At 40.0% G+C, this 25421-nt stretch overlaps 1 long non-coding RNA gene across 1 annotated transcript, besides 2 other annotated features; it reads right to left on the reverse strand.

The window, feature by feature from the left end:
• Positions 1-25186, reverse strand: LOC105376456 (uncharacterized). The gene is made up of 3 exons (XR_930757.3): positions 24964-25186; positions 23474-23663; positions 1-453 (listed from the first exon to the last, which is right to left on the reverse strand). It is a non-coding gene; the product is annotated as an uncharacterized LOC105376456 (long non-coding RNA).
• Positions 9359-9559: a silencer, noted in NCBI's record as "peak910 fragment used in MPRA reporter construct". NCBI's record gives its function as "represses an SCP1 promoter by STARR-seq MPRAs in K562 erythroleukemia cells {active_cell/tissue: K562}" and the evidence as "EXISTENCE:reporter gene assay evidence [ECO:0000049][PMID:32103011]".
• Positions 9849-10401: an enhancer, noted in NCBI's record as "OCT4-NANOG hESC enhancer chr10:25051766-25052318 (GRCh37/hg19 assembly coordinates)". NCBI's record gives its function as "activates a minimal SCP1, AML or CMV promoter by ChIP-STARR-seq in primed H9 embryonic stem cells {active_cell/tissue: H9 hESC(primed)}" and the evidence as "EXISTENCE:reporter gene assay evidence [ECO:0000049][PMID:30033119]".
• Positions 25187-25421: the final 235 nt, after the last annotated feature.

Below are 25421 nucleotides of genomic sequence, written 5' to 3' on the forward strand. Positions count from 1 at the left end.
TTTATGGAAAGGCATTTATTGGCTGGAAATGATAAACAAACTCTGAAGATTGTAGGACTAAGTACTAGGTGATAGACCAAAGACTTATTTTAAAACTTTTTCTATCATTTGAAAAATTTTAACATTGTACAGTATAAAAACAATAGTAGTAGTTGTTGTTGTTTTGAGACAGGGTCTCATTCTGTTGTCCAGGCTGAAGTGCAGTGACGCGATCTCAGCTCATTGCAACCTCCACCACCCAGGCTCAAGTGATTCTCCTGCCTCAGCCTCCCAAGTAGCTGGGATTACAGGCATGCGCCACCAAGCCCAGCTAATTTTTTGTATTTTTAGTTGAGACTGGGTTTCACCACGTTGGCCAGGCTGGTCTCGAACTCATGACCTCAAGTGATCTGCCTTTCTCAGCCTCCCAAAGTGCTGGGATTACAGGTGTGAGCCACTGTGCCTGGCCTAGTCCTGTTAAAAAAAAAGAGAAAATATTGAGATATGGATGTTAGGATCTACCTGAATATAGAAATAAGCGTTGGTTGGCTGGGTGCAGTGGCTCACTCCTGTAATCCCAGCACTTTGGAAGGCTGAGGCGGGTGGATTGCTTGAGCTCAAAAGAGTTTGAGATCAGCCTAGGCAACATGGCAAGACCCTGTCTTTACACAAAATACAAAAATTAGCTGGATGTGGTGGAATGCACCTGTAGTTCCAGCCACCTGGGAGGCTGAAGTGGGAAGATCACTTGAGCCTCGGGGGTGGAGGTTGCAGTGAGCTGAGATCGCTTCACTACACTGCAGCCTGGGCGAGAGTGAGACCCTGTCTCAATTAAAAATATATATATATTTAAAAAAAGAAATAAATGATGGTGCCAAATTTTGTATTTATCTAAGATGCTGTGTTTTCTTTGTATCTCTTAACAAGAAGTTATTAGACCAAATTAATAATAGGGAAAACAAAAATCTTGGCTGTTATTGCAGAACACTGAACCCACGTGTATTAGGCTGTTCTTACATTGCTATAAATAAATATCTGAGACTGAGTAATTTATAAGAAAAGAGGTTTAATTGGCTCATGATTCTGCGAGAGAGAGGGTGAGGAGGGTTTGTCACACTCTGTTTTTGTTGTTGTTGTTGTTTTTGATACAGGGTCTCATTCTGTGGCCCAGGCTGGGGTGCAGTGGTGCAATCATAGCTCACTGCAGCCTTGATCTCCCAGGCTCAAGCGATCCTCCACCTCAGCCTCCCTAGTAGCTGGGACTACAAGCGTGTACCACCATGCCCACCTAATTTTTGTATTTTTTGTAGACACCATGTTTTGCCTTACTTCCCAGGCTGGTCTCGAACTCCTGGGCTCAAGCAGTCGTCCTGCCTCAGCCTCCCAAAGTGAGGGGATTACAGGTGTGAGCCACCATACCTGGCCACCATGCATTTAATACTTGCATTATCCTTGGGCTATCAGGTCTTTGAGATTATTTGAATTTATATTCACAAGTGCTAGTATATAGATACAGAATATATATAAATATATATATATATATTCACTTATTCAGTATAAAATGTCACATACTATCATACCTTTAAGGTATGACCACAATTATGTATCAAATGAACTGTAAACATAGTTTAATAAGTTATATTTGTTTGGGAAGGAATTTATGTGATCTTAATTTTTGGCAAATGCTCTTATATTTGTTTTTGTAAGCTATTTAGAGTGGTGGGTGACACTCATATGGTATAGAACATCTTTTAGTCCTTTTAGGTGTCTCTTTATCATAACCATTACTTTTAAGCATAAACTGAAATGTTAAATGAAAGTATAGCATTATTTTTATATATATAAAATCTTGTAAAAGTCCTAATTCATTAAGGCTGACATTTTTCTTTCTTTCTTTTTTCTTTTGAGACAGAGTCTCACTCTGTTGCCCAGACTGGAGTGCAGTGGCATGATCTCGGCTCCCTGCCACCTCCAACTTCCAAGTTCAAGCAATTCTTGTGCCTCAGCCTCCCGAGTAGTTGGGACTACAGGTGTGTGGCACCATGGCTGGCTAATTTTTATATTTTTAGTACAGATAATGTTTCACCATGTTGGTCAGGCTGGTCTTGAACTCCTGGTCTCAAGCGATCTGCCCACCTCAGCCTCCCAAAGGGCTGGGATTACAGGCATGAGCCACTGCACTCAGCCAAGGCTGACATTTTTCAATGAACTTGTTGTAGTCTTTAAAACAAATAATATTTTAAAATAGACATACATTAATACAAATATTACACTGCATCAAAATAAACTAAAAGTAACGGTAGATTAATGGCAGTAGGTTCTAGGGAATAAAACCATTTGAAAATTGCTTCTTTGCTAGATAAACAATTCTGTTTCAAGGAATGAACAACACTTTAAAAAATAAAGTTTTTGCCAGGAGTGGTGGCTCATACCTGTAATATCAGCACTTTGGGAGGCCAAGGCATAAGGATTGCTTGAGTCTAGGAGTTCAAGACGAGTCTAAGCAACATAGGGAGACCCTGTCTCAATTTTTATTATTATTTTAATATATATTAAAAAAATAAGGCTCCTTAACTTCACTAAAGAAATCAATAGAGTATAACTAGAAGAATATATTCTACAGAAAATGATTTATAGTATCTATAAGATCATGGAGAATAGGAAGAAACTTGTGTTTCAATAAACTAATTTTTATAAAATTATGAAGTTACAGAACCGATATGGCAGGACATTGAATTATTTCACAAAATGTGAAAATTCATAATTGCATTTGAGTCCTGGTTTGTCTTGTTAGAAAGGGAAGGCTCTCTAACACTGCTCTCAACCCATTGAGATCCATGGATGAGTAAAGATCCTTGCAGATCACAGAACAGGAGCAACCAGAATGGCTGATCAAGAAACTTACTCTGGGCAGGGCACAGTGGCTCATGCCTGTAATCCCAGCACTTTGGGAGGCCGAGGTGTGTGGATCATTTGAGGTCAGGAGTTTGAAACCAGCCTGGCCAACATGGTGAAACTCCATCTCTACTAAAAGTAAAAAAATTAGCCAGGCATGGAGGTGGGCACCTGTAATCCAGCTACTCAGGAGGCTGAGATAGGAGAATTTCTTGAGTCCGGGAGGCTGGAGGTTGCAGTGAGCAGAAATCACACCATTGCACTCTAGCCTGGGCAACAGTCTCAAAAAAAAAAAAAAAGAAACTCACTCTGCTGTAGGTTCAGTCCCTGCCTTTCCTGCTGGCTATGATACAGGGTATGGACTGATGACTACTGACTATAAAAATGGTCCCAGTTCTCCACTCTTTCCTCTATTTTCATCCTTTGCAATGTGATTTTGCAGTTGTCACCATCAAGAGGTGGTGCTGGTTTTCTCATCTATTGAATCTGGACTGACCTTGTGTGATATGTTCTTCCAATAGAATGCAGGTGAGTGACAGTGTGCTAGTTCTCAGTCTAGGCCTCATGAAGCCTTATGTGCTTCAATTCTCTTCCTTGGAATGCTGCAACCACTATATGGCAAGTCCAGGCTTGCCTGCTGTAGGATAAGGGACCACATGGAGCAGAGATGAGTTTCCCAACTGAAACCATCCTAGACCTCCCAATCCTCAGCCTATCGAGCAGCTGATGGTGGATGCATGAGCTAGCCCAGCCAAGATGTGCTGAGCATGGTTAGGATCAAAATCACCCAGGAGCCCTGCAGACTTGTAAGCTAAATAAGTGCCTTTTGAATTAAGTCAGTAAGTTTTGAGGAAGTTTGTTACATGCATAGCTAATTGATGTATGAAGTAAATATCAAGTCATCTATTTCAAAACAAAATAAGACAAAATCTCCTTCAACTATTTACTCTAGAGTAGTCATCCCATCGTTCACTTTTTCATGTCGAGTTATTTATTTATTTATTTATTTTGAGACAGAGTCTCACCCTGTTGCCCAGGCTGGAATGGAGTGACACGATCTCAACTCACTGCAACCTTTGCCTCCTGGGTTCAAGCAATTCTCCTGCCTCAGCCTCCCAAGTATCTAGGATGAGAGGTGCCTGCCACCACACCCGGCTGATTTTGTATTTTCAGTAGAGACAGTGTTTCATCATGTTGGCCAGGCTGGTCTCGAACTCCTGACTTCAAGTGATCCACCCACCTCAGCCTCCCAAAGTGCTGGGATTACAGGTGTGAGCCACCACACCCAACCAAGTTTTTTAAAACAATAGCCTATGCCTTACCTTCTCTTAATTCTTTCCCCTACAATTTCACTAAGACTGCTTTTGCTAAAAAGACTAAACATCTTTTTTAAATTTTATTCTATTTTTGAAACTAAAGATCTTGTGTGTGTGTGTGTGTGTGTGTGTGTGTGTGTATTTGAGACATGGTCTCACTCTGTCACCCATGCTGGAGTGCAGTGGCATGATCTTGGCTCACTGCAACCTCCACCTCTCGGGCTCAAGTGCTTCTTGCGCCTCAGCCTCCCAAATAGCCAGGATTACAAAAACGGACCACTAAGCCTGGCTAATTTTTGTATTTTTAGTAGAGATGGGGTTTCACCATGTTGTCCATGGTAGTGTCTAACTCCTGTCCTCAAGCAATCCACCCGCCTTGGCCTCCCAAATTGCTAGGATTACAGGCATGAGCCACTGCACCTGGCTTGTTTTTATTTTATTTTATTTTATTTTTTTTGTAGAGACGAGGTCTCTCTGTGTTGCCCAGCCTGGTCTGGCACTCCTAGGCTCAAGTGATCCTCCCACCTGGGCTTCCCAAAGTGCTGGGATTACAGATGTGAGCCACCGCGCCCAGCTGAGACTAAAGATCTTTTAATTCCCAAGTCCGGTGGACACTTTCTAATGCTTGTCTTACTTAAGTTTCTGCACCATTGGACACAGTTGATGACTCCTTTCTTGACTCTGTCTCCTGGTTTTTCATGACACTACTGTCTTCTGGTTTTCCTCCTGCCTCTGTGGCTATTGCTTTTAATTCTCCAACATGGATCCATCTTCCTCTGCTTCCTCCATTAATGTCCACGTTCTCCAATGATCAGTGCCCAACCCCTTTTTTCCCTCAGTATTTTAGATAGACCACTTTGATGATATTGTGAAAGGTATGTTTTTGTAACCCTTGCATATTCCAAAAAGTCATCATGTTCTCTTCATAAGTGAAAGCCAATTTTATTTCAACTCTGCTATTTGTTTTTACTTTTTTGAAGTTCTTATTTCCGCCACTTTGCTTTTCAAGTCATCCTTTGCTTTATTTTTTAATCCCATCCTGTCATCTTTTTCTCTTTCTTTCCTCTTTTATTTTTCTGCTCTAATTCATGGAGACAGCATCTTCCTGCATTCTATTGAGAATGTCCAAGAGATTTTTAAAAACATTCTTCAGAACTTTGGGAAGATACTTTTTCTTTCTTTCTTTCTCTTTCTTTCTTTCTTTTCTTCTTTCTTTTTCTTTCTTTCTTTCTTTCTTCTTTCTTTTTCTTTCTTTCTCTTTCTTTTCTTTCTTTCTTTCTTTTTCTTTCTTTCTTTCTCTTTCTTTCTTCCTTTCTTCCTTTCTTTCTTTCCCTTCCTTTCCCTTCCTTTCCCTTCTTTCCTTCTTTCCTTCTTTTCTTTTTTTTTTTTTGAGACAGTCTGTCTGTCTCACAGGCTGGAGTGCAGTGGCTCAATCTCGGCTCACTGCCACCTCTGCCTCCCGGGTTCAAGCGAGTCTCATGCCTCAGCCTCCCGAGTAGCTGGCATTACAGGTGCATGCCACCACGCCCAGATAATTTTTGTATTTTTATTAGAAATGGGGTTTCGCCATGTTGGCCAGGCTGGTCTCAAACTCCTGGCCTGAAGTGATCTGCCTGCCTTAGCCTCCCAAAAGGGCTGAGATTACAGGCGTGAGCCACCGTGCCTAGTGGCGATTATTCTTTTAATCTAGTTTTGCACTACATTTTTATAGGCAATTTTTTTCTCTGTCACTCATTCTTACATAAGTTGAGATCATCTAGCCATGCTTTTTTTTTGTCAACAGATAGAGGGGACAGTCCTGGCATTCCTCACTGCACACTCGTGGGGAGATTGAACTCCTTTCTTGGATCTACTGTTTGAGAGGAAGATAAACTGCTGCTAGTCCAGTTGCCAGTTTTTAGGATATTTTCGATTATTCTGGTCCTATTCATGATAGTCTTACCTCACTCCTTGCACTTTGAAACTATCAAGTGCTTGAATATTAATATCCTGGCCAGGTGCAGTGGCTCACGCCTGTGATCCTAGCATTTTGGAAGGCTGGGGCCGGAGGATCACCTGAGCCCAGGAATTAAAGACAAGCTTGGGCAACATAGTGAGACTATGTCTCTACAAAAGAAAAAAAAATATCCCCATTAGGTATGTATATGGTTAATTTTTTTTTTTTTTTTGAGACAGAGTTTTGCTCCTATTGCCCAGGCTGGAGTGCAGTGGTGTGATCTTGGTTCACTGCAACCTCTGCCTCCTGGGTTCCAGCAATTCTCCTGCCCCAGCCTCCCGAGAAGCTGGGATAACAGGTACACGCCACCACACCCAGCTAATCGTTTGTATTTTAGTAGAGACGGGGTTTCACCTTGTTGCCCAGGCTGGTCTCAAACTCCTGAACTCAGGCAATCTGCCCACCTCAGCCTCCCAAAGTGCTGGGATTACAGGCGTGAATCACCGCACCCAGCCTCTATATGGTTAATTTTATGTGTCAACTTGACTGGGCCATAATGTATCCAGATATTTGGTCAGACATTATTTCATGTATGTCTGTAAAGGTATTTCTGGATGAGATTAACATTTGAATTGGTAAACTGAATAAATCAGACTGCCCTCTCCAATGTGAGTGGCCATTATCCAATCTGTTGAAGGCCTGAATAGAACAAAAAGGCTGGGTAATAGAAAACTCCTTCTGCTTGACTGCATTCAAGCTGTGACATTGTTTTTTTCCCTGCCTTCGGACTTGAATTGAAACATGTACTCTTCCTGTGTCTTAAGCCTGTTTGGCTTTGGGACTGGAACTCCATACACCATTGGCTCTCCTGGGTCTCCAGCTTGCTGACGGCCAACTTTGGGACTTGTCAGCCTCCATAATTGCATAAGCCAATTCCTTATAATAAATCTTTTTTTGTACACATCCTATTTGATGTGGTTTGGCTCTGTGTCCCCACTCAAATCTCATGTCAAATTGTAATTCCCAGTGTTGGTGGAGGGGCCTGGCGGGAGGTGATTGGATCATGGGGATGGTTTCTAATGGTTTAGCATCATCCTCCAGTGCTGTCTCATGATGGAGTTCTTACGAGATCTGGTTGTTTGAAAGTGTCTAGCACTTCCCCCTTCACTCTCTCTCTTCCTCCTGCTCTGGCCATGTAAGATGTGCCGGTTTCCCCTTTGCCTTCTGCCATGATTGTAAGTTTCCTGAGGCCTCCCCAGCCATGCCTCCTGTACAGCCTGTAGAACTATGAGTCAATTAAACCTCTTTTCTTCATAAATTACCCAGTCTCATGTAGTTCTTTATAGCCGTGTGGGAATGGACTAATACACTATTGGTTCTGTTTCTCTGAGGAACCCTGACTGATACAGCACCCCTATTGGGATTCTTCCAGTTTTGACCCTCTGCCTTTGAAACTTTATGCATGGAGTCTATACCTGCAATATACTACCACCAGCCTTCCAGAGCACTACTTTCTGCCCAATCAGTCTTTGGTTGTTACCTCTGAATTGTAAAAACTGATAATGAAATTGGCTAACATTAATAGGAACATATTCTGACTCAAAGATTATGCTAAGGATTTTACATCTACTGTCCTAGTTAATGTAACAATATAGAAAGATATGGGGGGATGGGAGAGTGAGGTGAAGAATAAGAAGAAAGAATCAGGCTGGGCACAGTGGCTCACACCTTTAATCCCAATACCTTGGGAGGCTGAGGAGGGAGGATCACTTGAGGCCAGCAGTTCAGGACCAGCCTGGGCAGCATAGCAAGACCTCATCTCTAAAAACAGTTAGCCAGGCATCCAAGATCAGGTGCTGGCAGAAAAAAAAAAAAAGAAGAAGAAGAATAATCAGTGAATCAGTGCTGTGGCTGCCACATAATTTGGGATCTATGAGCAATATACTCTCTGCCCAATATTCCAATTGCTGCAGAATCTCTGAATGCAAGAATAACAGGGCTGATAAAAAAAAGTGCTCCTACATCTTTTCAGGCGAGTTAGGTATACTGTGAAGCAATGTCTGAGTGATTTTCTCAGTCAAGTTAGACCGTAAGCTCTGTAAAGGCCAATAGCATGATGGTATTTGTCCACTGTGTATTCCTAGTACCTAGCAAGGTACTTGGCACAGAATAAGTGTTCAAAATTTCCCATTAATGTTTGCCAAATCTAATTTTCAGTTAATAAAGACTCACCCCAGATTCTGATAAGTTGTATATGTCTTAATTTTCCTTGTGTTAATTTTTCTTCTTTTTTTCTGTAGTTTCATAGCTATTTTAGTGGACAATTGGGAGACACTTTATATACGTTTAAACCAGAAGTCACTTTAATGAGTTTTAAACATTGTGTCAAAGCTCAGGAATGGCTCTACTAAAAGTCAATAATCGTATATATTTCATAAATTGAATTAGTTGATTAATGCATAAGAGTTGAAAATATCAAAGAGAAATATTATTTTATGACCCTGAGTAAATATTTCCATTGCTCGGAACCCTTTTCCTTATCTGTACAATGAAGAAAATTACAGACACCCTAAGGTTTGTTATATATATGTGCATAGGGGTGAAGGGACTAACATAATGTATGTAAAACTGCTTTGCAAATGTGAAATCCTAGATATTTTGTTTTATTTTATTTTATTTTATTTTTTGAGACAAAGTCTTGCTCTGTCGCCCAGGCTGGAGTGCAATGGTGCGATCTCAGCTCACTGCAACCTCTGCCTCCCGAGTTCAAGTGATTCTCAAGCCTCAGCCTCCCAAGAAGCTGGGATTACAGGCACATGCCATCACACCCGGCTAATTTTTGCATTTTTAGTAGAGATGGGGTTTCACCACGGTAGTGTCTAACTCCTGTCCTCAAACAATCCACCCGCCTTGGCCTCCCAAAGTGCTGGGATTACAGGCATGAGCCACCGCGCCTAGTCAAAAGCCTATATATTTTAGATGTTTTGGTTGTTATCTTTATTGTTTTCTGCCTTGTGTGCTAATCTACATATATCTTTTTTAAAAAAAAAAAACTCCAACCACATATTTCACTCTGTCACTGCCAGAAGCAACAGTACAGTATTATACTCTCCAATTTCTCTACCAGATTCAAGGGTTATGGCCTCTTTGGCAGGGAGAGAGTTACTGTCAGGAAAATCTTACTGTTGGATCCAGGACAAACCATTAAACAGTTGCATAAGTCTTTGTCAGCTTGGAGTTGTTGTTCTGCAGGTGTTTTGCTATGTTGACACAGCTCATGTTTGCCCTGTTTTACTTATTGCTCTTTCTTTTGGAGGAAATCATAGAGAAAACAGGACTCAAACCACAAACGGAAACAGTTTATCTGTTTAGCTGTTGAACTCCCCGGGAAAGAAGAAAGAAATCAGTTAAGAGATGCATGAGTGAATCTTTTTAAAAATCCATCTTCAAAACACACCAGAGAGAGTAATGAAAGTGATTGATTGATTAGAGGCATTTGCACCAGAGAGACACAAATGCCTCTAATTGAGGCATTAAGGTTAATAATTGTGAAAGTCCCGTCATGCTGAAGGCTCTGCAGAAGGGACGCAGGTAAGTAAAACAAGCCTCTGCCCTCATGGAGCTTCTTGCTCAACAGAGAAAAAGAGCAGGCAAGTGACTCTAACATACAGCAAACCGTAAAAATGTGGCCGTCATCCTCGTGACACCCCCCATTTCAGCAGATCTTAATAATTATTCATAATCAATTATATTTACAGATCTTGTTTCTAAACACACGTGAAAATCTTGTATATTTTATTCTAAACATATGTGAAAATCTTGTTCTCAAATACAGCATTTAATGAGGCCAATGAACAAGCTTTCAGAGAATAATATATTGTTGTCTAGGAAGAAAGGAAGGTTTTGGAAAATACAAGTGACCTGTCCCTGTGCCTTGCTGATGGCCACTGAAAAGGCTGAGCATATAGGAAATAGTCTTCATTCTAATGTGAAAGGCAAATTTGTGTCCCGTGGAATGAGAGGTATGCATGGTATGAGAACAGGACCCAGGGTCATTGCAGGGCTCACAGTTGTAAGGCATATTTCATGAGTTATATTCCTCCACATGGATCATTGCTTGTTAGTTATCACATTCATTACTTCTATTAGATCAGTCCTAGGGTGTTTAATTATTCCTGTAATTTTCATTTGTTCTTCCCTTTCTTCATCATTCTCTGTCTTTGGTATTGTGGAATTTCATTTCAGTCTCGAAGTCCATTTGATCTCATCCAAGTGCTAGTTCAGGAGCATTTGTGTTCTGTTTTCTCAGAGTCTTTGTACATAGCTCAGCAATTCTTATATTTCTTAAAACTTTTATCTGTTGGATGAAGTAAAGGCTCAGAACTATATATGATTTTTATAAACACCTACATTCTAAGTCTGAATAGATTATGTGTATTTGATATTTTACAGAGTAAAAATTTGAAGATTACTTTTACACAATTAAATACTTGTTTATAGCTTACAAACAAGCTGTATAAACTATTAATCATGATCTATCACCTGACAAGGCTAATATTTATCTAACGTTTCTTTTCTTTTCTTTCTTTTTTTCTTTCTTTTCTTTTTTTTTTTGAGACAGGGTTTTTTTTTTTTTTTTTTTTGAGACAGCCTGTCACCCAGGCTGGAGTGCAGTGTCATGATCTCAGTTTACTGCAACCTCCGCCTCCTGGGCTCAAGTGATCCTCCCACCTCAGCCTCCTGAGTAGCTGGGACTACAGGCATGCACCATCACATCTGGCTAATTTTTGTATTTTTTGTAGAGATGGGGTGTATTAGTCTGTTTTCATACTGCTGATAAAGACATACCCTAGACTGGGAAGAAAAAGAGGTTTAATTGGACTTACACTTCCACATGGCCAATGAGGCTTCACAATCATGGCAGGAGGTGAAAGGCACTTCTTACATGGTAGTGGCAGGAGGAAATGAGGAAGAAGCAAAAGCGGAAACCCCTGATAAACCCATCAGATCTCGTGAGACTTATTCACTATCATGAGAATAGCATGGGAAAGACTGGCCCCCATGATTCAATTACCTTCCCCTGGGTCCCTCCCATAACACAGGGGAACTCTGGGAGATAAATTCAAGTTGAGATTTGGGTGGGGACACAGCCAAACCATCTCATCCCACCCCGGCCCCTCCAAATCTCATGTCCTCACATTTCAAAACCAACCATGCCTTCCCAACAGTCCCCCAAAGTCTTATTTCAGCATTAACCCAAAGTCCACAGTCCAAAGTCTCATCTGAGACAAGGCAAGTCCTTTCTGCCTATGAGTCTGTAAAATCAAAAGCAAGCTAGTTACTTCCTAGATACAATGGGGGTACAGGTATTGGGTAAATACAGCTGCTCCAAGTGGGAGAAATTGGCCAAAACAAAAGGGTTACAGGCCCCATGCAAGTCCAAAATCCAGTGGGGAAGTCAAATTTTAAAGCTCCAAAAAATGATCTCCTTTGACTCCAGGTCACGCTGATGTAAGAGGTGGGTTCCCATGGTCTTGGGCAGCCCTGCCCCTGTGGCTTTGTAGGGTACAGCCTCCCTCCTGGCTGCTTTCATGGGCTGGCATTGAGTGTCTGTGGCTTTTCCAGGTGCATGGTGCAAGCTGTCAGTGGACAATGGTAAATGGTACCAATTTACCATTCTGGGGTCTGGAGGACAGTGGCCCTCTTCTCACAGCTCCAGTAGGCAATGTCCCAGTAGGGAGTCTGCGTGGGGCCTCTGACCTGATATTTCGCTTCTACACTTCCCTAGCAGAGGTTCTTCATGAAGGCCCCACCCCTGCAGCAAACTTCTGCCTGGGCATCAGGGGTTTCCATATATCTTCTGAAATCTAGGCAGAGGTTCCCAAACCTCAATTCTTGACTTCTGTGCATGCACAGGCTCAACACCACATGGAAGCTGCCAAGGCTTGGGACTTCCAACCTCTAAAGCCACAGCCCAAGCTGTACATTGACCCCTTTCAGTCATGGCTGGAGCAGCTGGGACACAGGGCCCCAAGTCCCTAGGCTGCACACAGCATGGGGACCCTGGGCCTGGCCCACAAAACCACTTTTTCCTCCTGGGCCTCCAGGCCTGTGATGGGAGGGGCTGTCATGAAAGTCTCTGACATGACCTGGAGACACTTTCCCCGTGGTCTTGGGGATTAATATTAGGCTCCTTACTACTTATGCAAATTTCTGCAGCTGGCTTAAATTTCTCCTCAGAAAATGGGTTTTTCTTTTCTACTGCATCATCAGGCTGAAAATTTTCTGAACTTTTATGCTGTGTTTCCCTTTTAAAACAGAATGCTTTTAACAGCATCCAAGTCACCTTTTGAATGCTTTGATGTTTAGAAATTTCTTATGCCAGATACCCTAAATCATCTCTCTCAAGTTCAAAGTTCCACAAATCTCTAGGGCAGAGGCAAAATGCTGCAGTCTTTTTGCTAAAACATAACGAGAGTCACATTTGCTCCAGTTCCCAACAAGTTCCTTATCTCCATCTGAGACCACCTCAGCCTGGACCATATTGCTTATATCGCTATCAGCATTTTTGTCAAAGCCATTCAACAAGTCTCTAGGAGGTTCCAAACTTTCCCACATTTTCATCTCTTCTTCTGAGCCCTCTAACTGTTCCAACCTCTGCCTGACACTCAGTTCCAAAGTTGCTTCCATATTTTTGGGTTTCTTTTCAGCAATGCCCCACTCTACCGGTACCAATTTACTGTATTAGTCTGTTTTCATGCTGCTGATACAGACATACTTGAGACTGGGAAGAAAAAGAGGTTTAATTGGACTTACACTTCCACATGGCCAGGGAGGCCTCAGAATCATGGCGGGAAGCGAAAGGCACTTCTTACATGGTGGTGACAAGAGAAAATGAGGAAGAAGCAAAAGTGGAAACCCCTGATAAACTCATCAGATCTTGTGAGACTTATTCACTATCATAAGAATAGCATGGGAAAGACTGGCCCCCATGAATCAATTACCTCCTCCTGGGTCCCTCCCAAAACACACACGAATTCTGGGAGATGCAATTCAAGTTGAGATTTGGGTGGGGATAAAGCCAAACCATATCATGGGGTTTCACCATGTTGGCCAGGCCAATTTTAGAGGGAAATTATTCTGTGTTTCAACATTAAGTATGATGTTATCTGTAGAATTTTTGTTGAGAATTTTCATCAGGAATGGATGTTGTGTTTTGTCAAATGCATCTGCTGTGTCCATTGAGATGATTACATAATTTTTCTTTTTTTGGTTTATTAATATGGTGAATTACATTTATTGATTTTTGAATGATAAACCAACCTTGCATTTCTAGAATAAACCTCACTTGGCCATGATGCTCTTAATATGCTGTTGGATTTAATTTTGATAAAATTTTGTTTAGAATTTATGTTCATGGGGAATACTTCTCTCTAATGTTTTCTGACTATATTTTCTCATTTCTTTATTCCTCCTTGCAAATCTATTAGTTTTTTGCCTCATGTAATTAAAAGATCTGTAATTTGGTGCACAGACTTGTGTTTTGTGTTTGAGGGTTCACTTAGCTTGGTGGATCTGCGGGTTTACAACTTTTGTCATATGTGGAAAATTTAGGGCCATTAAATATTTTTCTGTCCTCTCTCATCTCCTTTGCAGATTCTAATTACAAATACATTAGGTCACTTGAAGTTATCCCACAATTCACTGATGCTCTTTTCATTAAAAAATTCTTTTTTCTCTTGTCTTTCACTACAATAGTTTCTATTGGTCTATCTTCCAGTTTATTAATATTTACTCCTTCAATGATTAATCTGTCATTAACCCCATCTAGAGATTTTTCATCTCATGCATTCTACTTTTTATGTCCAAAAGTTCAATTTGGGTCTTCTAAAAACATCTTCCATGTCTCTATGTAAATTTCTGAAGATATGCAATGCAGTTATAATAACATGTTTTAAAGTTCTTGTCTATTAGTTCTAATCTCTATGTCAGTTTTGAGTCAGTTTGAACTGACTCAAATATTTCTCCTCATTAGGGGTCCTATTTTCTGCTTGTTTTATTTCTGATAACTTTTACCTGGATGCCAGACATAGTAAACTTTACTTTGTTAGGTGCTGGATATTTTATATTCCTGTAAATATTCTTGAGCTTTGTTCTGGGGTGCAGTTACATTACTTGGAAGCAGTTTGATTCATTTGGGTCTTGCTTTGAGTTTTGTTAGGTAGGACCAGCACAGTGCTCAGCCTAAGGCTAATTGCCCACAATACTGAGGCAAGAGCCTTCTGTATACTCAACCCCATGCCCAGGGAATTACAGTATTTTTCCAGTCTGTCCAGTGGGAGCAGGCACTATTCGTGGCCCTCTGTGTGGAATGGGTGCTGTTTCTTTAATCCTTTTGAATGGTGCTTTTCCCAGTATCAAGTAGTTTCCTCATATGCATCCACTGCTCAATGTTCTGCCGCACACTTAAGGGGGACCTTCTGCAGATACCTGGATCCTTCCTTCCTTCCCTCCCTCCCTTCCCTCCCTCCCTTCTCTTTTCCTTTCTTTTTTTTATTTTCTTTCTTCCTTCCTTCCTTCCTTCTTACTTTTATTTTCTTCCTTCCTTCCTTCCTTCTTTTGTTTTCTCTTCTCTTCTCTTGGTTTCTTTTCTTTCCTTTTCTCTTCGTTTCTTTTCTTTTCTTTCTCAGGGTCTCACTCTTTCACCCAGGCTGGAGTGCAGTGGCACAATTGTAGTTCACTGCAGGCTTGACCTTCTAGGCTCGAACAATCCTCCCACCTCAGACTCCCAAGTAGCTGGGACTACAGACGTGCACCACCACACTCAACTAATTTTTGTATTTTTTCTAGAGAAGTGGCCTCACCATGTTGTCCAGGCTGACCTCAAACTCCTACTCAAGCAATCCTCCTGCCTCGACCTCCCAAAGTGCTCGGATTAACAGGCATGAGCCACTGTGTGGAGCCTGGATTTCTTTTTTTATGAAATAGTCTCCTCTCCATTACTCTGTCCTCAACACTCTAGCTTCCACTGTCTTTGTGGACTCTCAATTTCATCTCCTCAATTAGAGGAGTTCACTGGGTTTTGCCTGGTTTCTCTGTATGTTGCAGCCTAGAAACTCTTAAACTTTCTCATAGTGGTAAAACGAGCATTTGTAGCACTCGACTTGTTCACTGACTGTTTCTCAGGGATCACTGTCCTTCATTGCCTCTACTCAGTGCCTTCAAAGCTATTATTTCATATATTTCATCTGTCTTGTTGTTGTTTGGTTGCTTCATGTGTTAGAGTAAATCAACTTCTATTTCTCTATCTGGGCTGGAAACAGAAGTCTCTGGTTTTGTTTTGTTTTGTTTTTAAATGCTATTTTAAGTGGATTTTATAACATTAATTTTCTAATTACTTCTAGAAATACAATTGATTTTTGTATATTGACCTTGTATCCTCCAAATAGTACGGTTTTAACAAGATTATTGGATCATTCACATACACACATCTGAAGAGAGGTAAATATAAAGTGATTGGGGGATTAAGGAGCAAGAACTCACAGTATATAGAAGAAATTACTAAAAGAGCTGCAAGGAAGAGGTGGGATTTGAAGGATATATAGGATATGTTATAAAGAAAAGCTGCAGCATGAACAAAGCACAGAAGGAGGCCTAATCAAGGGCTGAGAAGTTCAATTTGAATTAAAGGTCAGTTTTGAGCAGAAGATTTCAGAAAACCGAAGTCGCTACACATATATTATGTATATGTATATATAACTGCGATAAGAGAGTCTTCTCAGACCAGGTTAAATCTTTCAAGATAAGTTTTATTTTTCTTTCATAAAGTGCTCACAATTCGAATTAACTTTTTTTAAGCCTATATCTGTAATGTTTATCTTCCACAAGAGACTGAAAATTCAGTGAGGGCAGAAATCACTCGTTTTCACTTTTTGTTGTGTTTATGGCATTTAAAAATAAATATTCATTGAATTAATTAATAAATGAGGCTGGGCGCAGTGGCTAACACCTGTAATCTCAGCACTTTGGGAGGCTGAGGTGGGTGGATCGCCTGAGGTCGGGAGTTTGAGACCAGCCTGACCAACATGACCCTACTAAAACTACAAAAAACATTAGCTGGGTGTGGTCATGGGCACCTGTAATCCCAGCTACTTGGGAGGCTGAGGCAGGAGAATTGCTTGAACCCAGGAGGTGAAGGTTGCAGTGAGCTGAGATCATACCATTGCGTTCTAGCCTGAGCGACAGAGCAAGACTCCATCTCAAAAAAATAAATAAGTAAATAAACAAAATGAAACTAGGATAAGCAGAAGTATGAATTTAATTTTATGTGCAAATGGGAGTCTTCAAATGTGTTTATTGGCTGGGCATACACCTATAGTCCCCCGACTTGGACGTGCTGGCATACACCTATAGTCCCAGCTACTCGGGAGGCTGAGATGGGAGAATCACTTGAGCCTGGGAGGTTGAGGATGCAGTGAGTCGTGATAGTGTTACTACAGCCCAGCATCCTGGGCAACCAAGGGAGACCCTGTCTCAAAAAAATTACATAAATAAATACATAAATAAATAAAAATAAATAGAAGTATTTGTTTTGGGGGATGATATATGTAGAGTTATGCCTTAGGAAGATTTTTTCTGGCAGCATATGGTGAATAAATTAGAAGAGACCAGGCATAAGGACAGCAGTTAGTAGGCTACTTTAATTGTTTATTTTATTTTGTCTTCCAGCTTTATTAAGGTATAATTGACAAATAAAAATTATATATATTTAAAGTGTACATGTGATGATTTAATATATACTGTAATAGTTTAGACAGGAGGCAAGGTGAAACTGAACCATGGCAGTGACCTAAAAACGGGATGGAAATGGATACAAAAGATTCTGTAGAGGGAAAACCAGTACAACAGAAATCGGAGATGAGAAGAAATAGAGAAATCAGTGACATACCTGACTGACATTTTGGGAGCAGAGAATTAGGAGGAAAATGGTGCCATTCACAGAAATAGGAACCTAACAGGAAGAGCTGCTTTGAGGAGGTAGCTATCAATCTTGAGTGTCGTTTACCTATGCGCTTTGTAGGTGAATCTATTGATCAGGCAATTGGAAATGTAGTTCTGGATCTCAGAACTGAGTAGTGGTTTAGAGACACTGATGTGAGAATCATGCCCCTAAAGGGGACATTTAGTTCTAGGATACTGATGAGGTTAGTGAGAGAGAGAGAAAGAGAGAGAGAGACAGAGAGAGAGAGAGAGAGAGAGGTAGACAACACAGTGGAGAATCCCAAAGAGACAGATTTGGGGGCATAAGCTTTAGGAGGCAGAAGGATACCAACAAAGGATATGGATTAGTAAAGTTTTCCAGAGTTGGGAGCAGACTCTAGAGAGCGTAAAGGAAAGGAAAAGACAGCGCTCTGAAAGTGAAAAGGTTGGCATCTAGAGTGCCAGAACTAGGTCTCCACTCCAATGACATTCCTGACAATGTCCCCTAACATCACACTACATCCTGTTCTTTGTAACATTCTTCAGAAAAATAGATTTGTTCTCAGGCCTATATTCTGTTTTCACTCATGTCATTCTTGTCTGTTTTGCTAGGAAACCTGTGGAAACACTCATTTTGGATGCTGCCGGCTCTTGTCAGTGACTTCGAAAGAGAAAAGACTCTGAATCTGATCATCATTAGAGGGTGGTGGTGGTTAAAATAATATAGGTTAATAAATATTTTTAGGAGCTTTCTCTTTCTATTAGAGCAGCAGATACAACTAACAAGTACATCAACTTTTCCTCGCCAATTCTTTAAGTAAATTAAACATGCTCTATATTTGTTTAGGTTTAAACTTGATTAAGACATATATGTATTTTCTTTCTTCATCTAATTAGTGATTTACTGTTATTATCTGAAAGTCATACAAGACTATTTAAAGGTGAGTAACATTTTATGAGTGCACTATATAGTACTATAAGGCCTGGAACAGCATGTCTTTTGTTCCAAGACTGTCAAATATGCATCCTGAAAGGCAAAAGTGTGCAATGAGGGGTGCAGAGAATTCTGACTTTCTGATTTCCTTTTTTTTTTAACCTTAAGAAAAAAGAAAGACATTGGAGATAGTTAAGCTGATGGACTTAGTTTCTGCCTTAAATAAGGAACTAATATGGGACAATCATGTGTGCTATTGTCATTTTCAAAAACTAGAACAAATAAACAGACAAACAAACAAGAAGATAACGGTTCTACCCACGGAATCCATTGTTAGCATCTGTGAGAAGAATATTGAGTCTGCTTATTTCTGTAATGGGCATTTCTACGTAGGAAGAACTGACCCCATCATAAGCAAGTGTCATTGAAATACTTTCTATTAGTCTAGAGAAGCTCGCAAGTTCATTTAGTTCAGAGAAGAGTTGCAATTATTGTCCTGAAAGAGCTAGTGTGTAGACCTCGAAAAGAGGGTAGCCACTTTAAGGGCAAGAGATCTCTTTATAATGCAGTCAATAAAGGCAAATACATGTTCTAAAATGTAAGCTTAGTTGTCTCACTACTGCCCCAAGCATAATTCTAATACCAAAGTTTTTTTTTAAAATATATTTTAATTTTTTAAAAAATACAGCTGGGTCTCACTATGTTGTCCAGGCTGGTCTTGCACTCCCGGGCTCAAGTGGTCCTCCTCCCACCTTGGCCTCCCAAAGTGCTGGGACTATAGGCATAAGCCACCACATCCAGCAAACACCGAAGTTTTGAGTAGGTTGATTCTTCTTTGAGAGCCTCTGTTCTGTGCGTATATTAACACCTTTTTCTAGGTTTAAAATTTATTTTTATAGGGGCCAGGCATGGTGGCTCACACCTGTAATTGCAGTGCTTTGGAGGGTCAAGGCAGGAGGATTTGCTTGACGCCAGGAGTTTGAGATCAGCTTGGGCAACATAGCAAGACTCTGTCCCTACAAAAAATAAAAACTAGTGTAGCCAGGCATGGGGGTTTGCTCCTATAGGCCTAGCTACTCAGGAGGCTGAGGTGAAAGGATTCCTTGAAGTTCAAGGCTGCAGTGAGCTATGATTGCATCATTGCATTCCAGTCTGGGTGACAGAGGGAGACTCTGTCTCTAAAAAATAATAATAATAATTAATAAAAATAAAAATTTATTTTATAAATAGATGCCTTTTTTTTTCAAAAGAAAACAAGGACAATTTTAAGAGCATTTCCATGGATATTCCCTTTTCCCTTGCCAAAAAGTAATGAGACAAGCCTACAGGCTCAGTTCCATTTTGGTCAAATTGCAAATATGTGACATTTTAGGAATCTTGGGCTGTTTTATTCTTCACACCCATTTAATCACAGTTTGCTGACTGGGGTTTGATGGAATAAAGTAGTTCTGTAGATTCACTGCAGTTCTGTTTCTGGGATTTTGTAGCAACTATGGTTTCAGAGGAGAATGGAAAAAATAAACACACTTAGCAACTCAAAGGCCAGCTGACTTAAAACTGGCTTGGACATTCTGGACTCATCACCATGACTTTTTCAATTTTTTTTTTTGTTCTACATTGTAAACAGACTAGTGTGGATTCTTCTTTTGTATATTTATATTTAAGGAAGGACCAGGTTGGAAAATTCCTCTTGTGGTATACATTTATATAACTTTTAAAAACAAAATAAGGCCAGGCACGGTGGCTCACGCCTGTAATCCCAGCACTTTGGGAGGATGAGGCAGGTGGGTCACTTGAGGTCACGAGTTTGAGACCAGTCTGGTGGTGAAACCCCGTCTCTACTAATAATATAAAAAAATTAGCCGGACGTGGTGGCATGCACCTGTAGTTCCAGCTACTCGGGAGGCTGAGGCATGAAAATCGCTTGAAACCGGGAAGCGGAGGTTGCAGTGAGCCGAGATCGCGCCACTGCACTCTAGCCTGCGTGACGGAGAGAGACTCTGTCTCGGCAAAACAAAACAACAACAAGAAAAAGAAGTCACAGTTTTCATATGTATTAAAACTGAAAGCAAAGACTTGAAAGAAATGTATTTATTGACTAATGACACCATTTCCTTCCCATTTAGGGGAAAATGGATAACAATATCCTTCACCTTAAGAAAGATTCTCTAGTCTAGAGTGCCAACGAGCTTTAGAAAACATTAATTTAGACCCAGAGACCTGGGGTATGTATGGTGGCTATTGTATTGACTTACATTGTAGGTATCAGAGGGAGAAATGTGGCACAAAACCCTAACTAGTGAAGGTTAATTTAGTTACCCAAGTTTATGCACAAGCATAGCTGGGAGGTTGCCCATTCACTGTGTCTCTTCCTTGGGTCTCCGCAAAACTCTTGAACTTGAACATCCATTATTATGGTGCATTCAATAATTCCTATGATACTTACCCAAAAATACATATGTTTCCTTTTCTCTTTCTTCCTTTTTCTTTCTTTCTTTTTTTTTCTTTCTTTTTTTTTTTTTTTTTTTTTTTTTGAGACAGAGTCTCACTCTGTTGCCCAGACTGGAGTGCAGTGGCATGACCTGGGCTCACTGCAACCTTCACCTCCCAGCTTCAAGCGACTCTCCTGCCTCAGCCTACTGAGTAGCTAGGATCACAGGCACCCATCACCATGCCCAGCTAATTTTTAGATACATATCTTTTAATATAGTCTACATTAAAACTATTTTAAGGACTTGGGCCATATTGAAACAGAACAGTTAGTTTGGAGGGCCATTGTATGGAGTGGAAAATTTGCTGTTGGGACTATGGAAACAATTCAGGCTACATTCTTGCCTGAGTCCTGAGACATTCAGCACAGCATTTTAACACATCCTTTGACATTGATTTAGAAAAATGGCAAAAATGAAAGGTATGGTGGATATCTTTATGGAGCTCACCAAAATTTATCTTCCATTCTTCTGTTTAAAGCACTCCAACTTGTTTTGGAGGAATCTTTTTGCTAACCCAACGGATAGCAGCCATGAAATTGTAGTCATTACAGTGAAATTGCCCCAGGGGTGAACCTGATTGGCTTAAACCAATCAGAACATCCTATCTCTCTAGCCATAAGGATTACTCAGATATGGATATAATCACATTTGCAACAATGAGGCATAACAATATTATAATGAAACTTCTGGGAAAAAAGTTCCCTCACACTTCTAACAACCCCAAAAGAAAATTCTTCCTCTAGATGGGATGGGAAGGTTTTTACTTCTACAGCTATTGTTGCTACTGTGAATGAAGCTGACCTTAAGACAAAACTGAGACATTGGGAGGAGCAGGGAAGAGAGAATTAGAATGAAGTCACTAGAGCCACACTGTCCAGTAGAAATTTCTGTGTTGCTGGAAATTTTCTATATCTGCACTACCCAATATGGTAACCACTAGCCACATGTGGCTACTGAGCATTGAGTTGTGGCTACTGACAGAGGAATTAAGTTTTTAAGTTAGCTAATGAAAATTTAAATTTATCGAACAGTGAATCACGAGGTGGTGCACATAATACCTATGAATAGATCCATATGTCACCTAAACAAAAATCTGTTGCCAACACACACAAGACATCTGATTTTCAGAAAGAATGGATATATTAGATTTATGTGTTCATTCAAAGCTGTTATGGCAGTTAACTTTTGAGCAAGTGACTAGAAGATCAATATCCACTACTCTTTTTTTTGAGACAGAGTCTTGCTCTTGTCATCCAGGCTGGAGAGCAATGGTGTGAACTCAGCTCACTGCAACCCCCATCTCCCAGATTCAAGCAATTCTTCTGCCTCAGTCTCCCAAACAGCTGGGATTACAGGTGCCTGGCACCGCGTCTGGCTAATTTTTGTATTTTTAGTAGAGATGGGGTTTTGCCATGTTGGCCAGGATGGTCTCCATCTCCTGACCTCGTGATCCACCTGCCTTGGCCTTCCAAAGTGCTAGGATTACAGGCAAGAGCCACTGCGCCCAGACCTCGTGATCCACCCGCCTTGGCCTCCCAAAGTGCTGGGATTACAGGCATGAGCCACCGCGCCCAGCCTACTCTTTTTTACATCTGGCATTTTATAGCTGGGAGGACTTGGGCAAATTATATCAAATCTCTGATACTTCAAAGATTAAATGAGATAATCCATATAAAGGACTCAGCATGGAATCTTGCCTGTAATAAATATTCAATGAATGGTAGCCTGCTGCTACCACTGCTACTTACCACTGACATAATATAAATGACTGTCCACCTTTTAGTACCTAGAAATGCCTATATCTGACAGTAATAGGTCACTGAAACATGAACATATCAAAGTTGGAAGAGAGCTAGAGAGCAAGTAATCCAAGAAGATATCATTGCAGAAGGGTAAATTAACTCTCAGTTGTCAAAATGACCAGGCAATTAGTAGAGCACAGAAGAGACATTACAGCCAAGACCTCCTGGCTCAAAATTACAGCCAAGACCTCCTACTTTTTATTTTTGCTTCAACTTTTCCCAGATTTTTCAAACTGCCTGGCATTCTCTATTCAACTTAGCAAACAGGTTAATACTAGTGACTTAGAGAAAATTCCATTCATCTTCTAGGCAGTTTTACAATAATAAGATAATCTTCTCAAGACCATTTAACCTCACGGTTGACTCTAGTTTCACTCTTCAAGACGTGGTGGGAAGGATTTTGCTGTCAGTGTTATTGAATGCCTGAATCATAGCTGTGTCTAAAAGATTTCAAAAGTTCAAGCACTGTTTTGATCTCATTCTCTATTTCCTTTGAAAAAAATGTTCTTAGCAGGGGAAAAAAAAACCCTTTTTCTTGAGTTTATAGCACTGTATCATAATGGTCAAAGGCAGAATTGGGTAAATTCCTCAATGAGTTATGTATTTTCCTCTTTAGTTCCTTCTCTTGTCCGCAGGCCACCATTTTATAGCTTTCAAACTGGAGCCAACAATACCTAAAGTCTAAGTTCCTACTGATTCAATACTGAACGACTTCATCTTTGAGTCAAGATGGCAGGACACCAGGGCACCTATAATTTATGACTACATAAACAGATACTGTTTGTTCTACATTGACAAATTTTGGAGTTTCAAAGTCATTTCAATCCTTCTTCACATAGCACTGTAGGGATAGACTGGTTGGAATGTAAGTTTTGAAGCTGCATCATCTCATTAAAAATTATTGTTAGACTATAGTCCTATTAGATTATGATCAATACTTTACAACTAGAAAGTCAGAATGAGAAGGTGAGACCCCATTTGAGTTAATTTTGCATTATGTTGCTTCTACATGGATCTGTTTCAAGTATCATTTAAGCCACTGTGTGAAATTGAGTTTGAAATGAGAAATGTCTGATTTATAAAGATCTTTTTACCTTACCATCCATCCTAAGCCATACCAGATGTTCTAAGATACTCACCTCAATTACCACATAAAGGAAGAGGTTCCCATACTTCCACATTCTTTCTAAAAACACATGTTAGCAGTTCATTGTTTCCATGGCTGTAAGAGACATAAGTGTGTTCCTGGCACTTTGGGAGGCGAGGTGGGAGGATTGCTTAAGTCCAAGAGTTTGAAACCAGCCTGGGCAATATGGTGAGACTTCATCTCTAAAAAAATAAATAAATACAATGTGTTCCTAGTGCTTTACATTTCTTCCCTTCTCCTACGATAGGTTAGGGGTACAAACATTTTCTCCAAATCAATGTATGCCTTTTGTTAATGCCAACGGATTGTTTTTCTCAAACATTACTATAAATGGTGATTAGACTTCTAAGATGACCACACAAAAGAAGTATGTCAATTACTTTAGCGGTTATCTCGGCTTTGGATGGCTGGGATGGGAACTAATGATGAATCTCAGAATTATTATTTCTGGGAAATGTCACCCATGCTCCAAAATGCAGACTATGAATCTTAAGAACATAACCCATATGGAAGTTGGGGACTTCTTATACTTCAATCAGGTTTCAAGTCTGGATGGCATTTACTTAAACATTTTCTTAACAATATAATTTGGTGTATGGGCAACAGTGCAAACTCAAATAATAGATTCTAAAAATATAATAATGAATACATTATATGAAAAACTTCAAAATATAAAGCATTAATGCAAATGAAAGACTACCAGACATATTAAGGAAGGCATTCTGATACTGGTAGCCAAAAATATGTCTTCTTGGAGAAATAAATGTTATGGTTGATATATACGTACAAAAGATGCAATGGGTCAATGTTAATCATATCGCCCATTGTACTTTTATACTTTGAAAGCACTGAAAGATCCAGTAGTGAGTCATAACTGTGACTTCCAAACTAGATCAATTTTGAAGGAAACTGATTCCTGAGACTAGCTGATAAATGTCATTTGTAATGGGAAACATTTGCTTTCTGGCTAGTTTAGCGCATTTAGGTAGACAGTAATGAGTTGCAGCTGAAGGGTGGAGATCCTCTAAAAAGAAGTATATTTTTTCTTTGCCAAATATAATGAAAAAAGTATTTCTTCCAAGTATCCCACTATTGATAGTCATTCAAGAAAGATTCTTGCAATGTGACTCTTTCACAGAAAAAGAAAACCCACTGGAAAATCAGAAGAGAGAATTATTACAGCCCAATAAATAGTATGGAGCTGTAAGAAGAATAATCAACATTTATCACTATAGAAACAAAGATACAAATTAAAACAAAGAAGAAATATAGCTTAATGTACAGGAAAATAAATGTATGATAAACCACATATTAGCGTGGACTAGCTTATGTTTTAATTACAAATACATCCCAAATCTCAGGTGCTTAAGACAGCAAAGGCTTATTTTTCATTATGCTACATGTTTAGCATGGGTTTGCAAGAATGCTTTGCTCTGTTATTTTCTTAATCAACATGGGACATGGAAGGGAGCAGTAAGGTACCTGTCACTGGCAATGAAATGCCTCCCCCAAGAAGAGTCCACACATCACCTTCAGTTTCATTTCATTCGCCAAAGCAAATCACATGGCAATGAGCAATTTCAGTAGAACAAAGTTCAGTTCTACCATATGCCTAGAAGAAAGCAAATTAGAATATCTGAGAACAGCTGTTTGACACACTTACAAAAGAAAAACTAGTTATAGGCCAAGGACCATTACATGCAAAGAGAGTCTACAGAACTATTAATATCAACCACTGGAAGGTATTTGTTGACAGCAAAAAAAAAATAATTTTCAAATTTACTACTAATCAATACATGAACATGAGGATCTAGAAAACGTATTGCTTAGGTTGAAAAGAAGGACATAAGTCATCATGAGAAATGGTCCTAACATAAATTTCAGGCAAAACTTTATTGGTCTGGCCAGGCAAGGTGGTTCATGCCTGTAATCCCAGCACT

This window comes from Homo sapiens, chromosome 10, assembly GCF_000001405.40.
Source record: "Homo sapiens chromosome 10, GRCh38.p14 Primary Assembly".
NCBI classification, from domain to species: domain Eukaryota; kingdom Metazoa; phylum Chordata; class Mammalia; order Primates; family Hominidae; genus Homo; species Homo sapiens.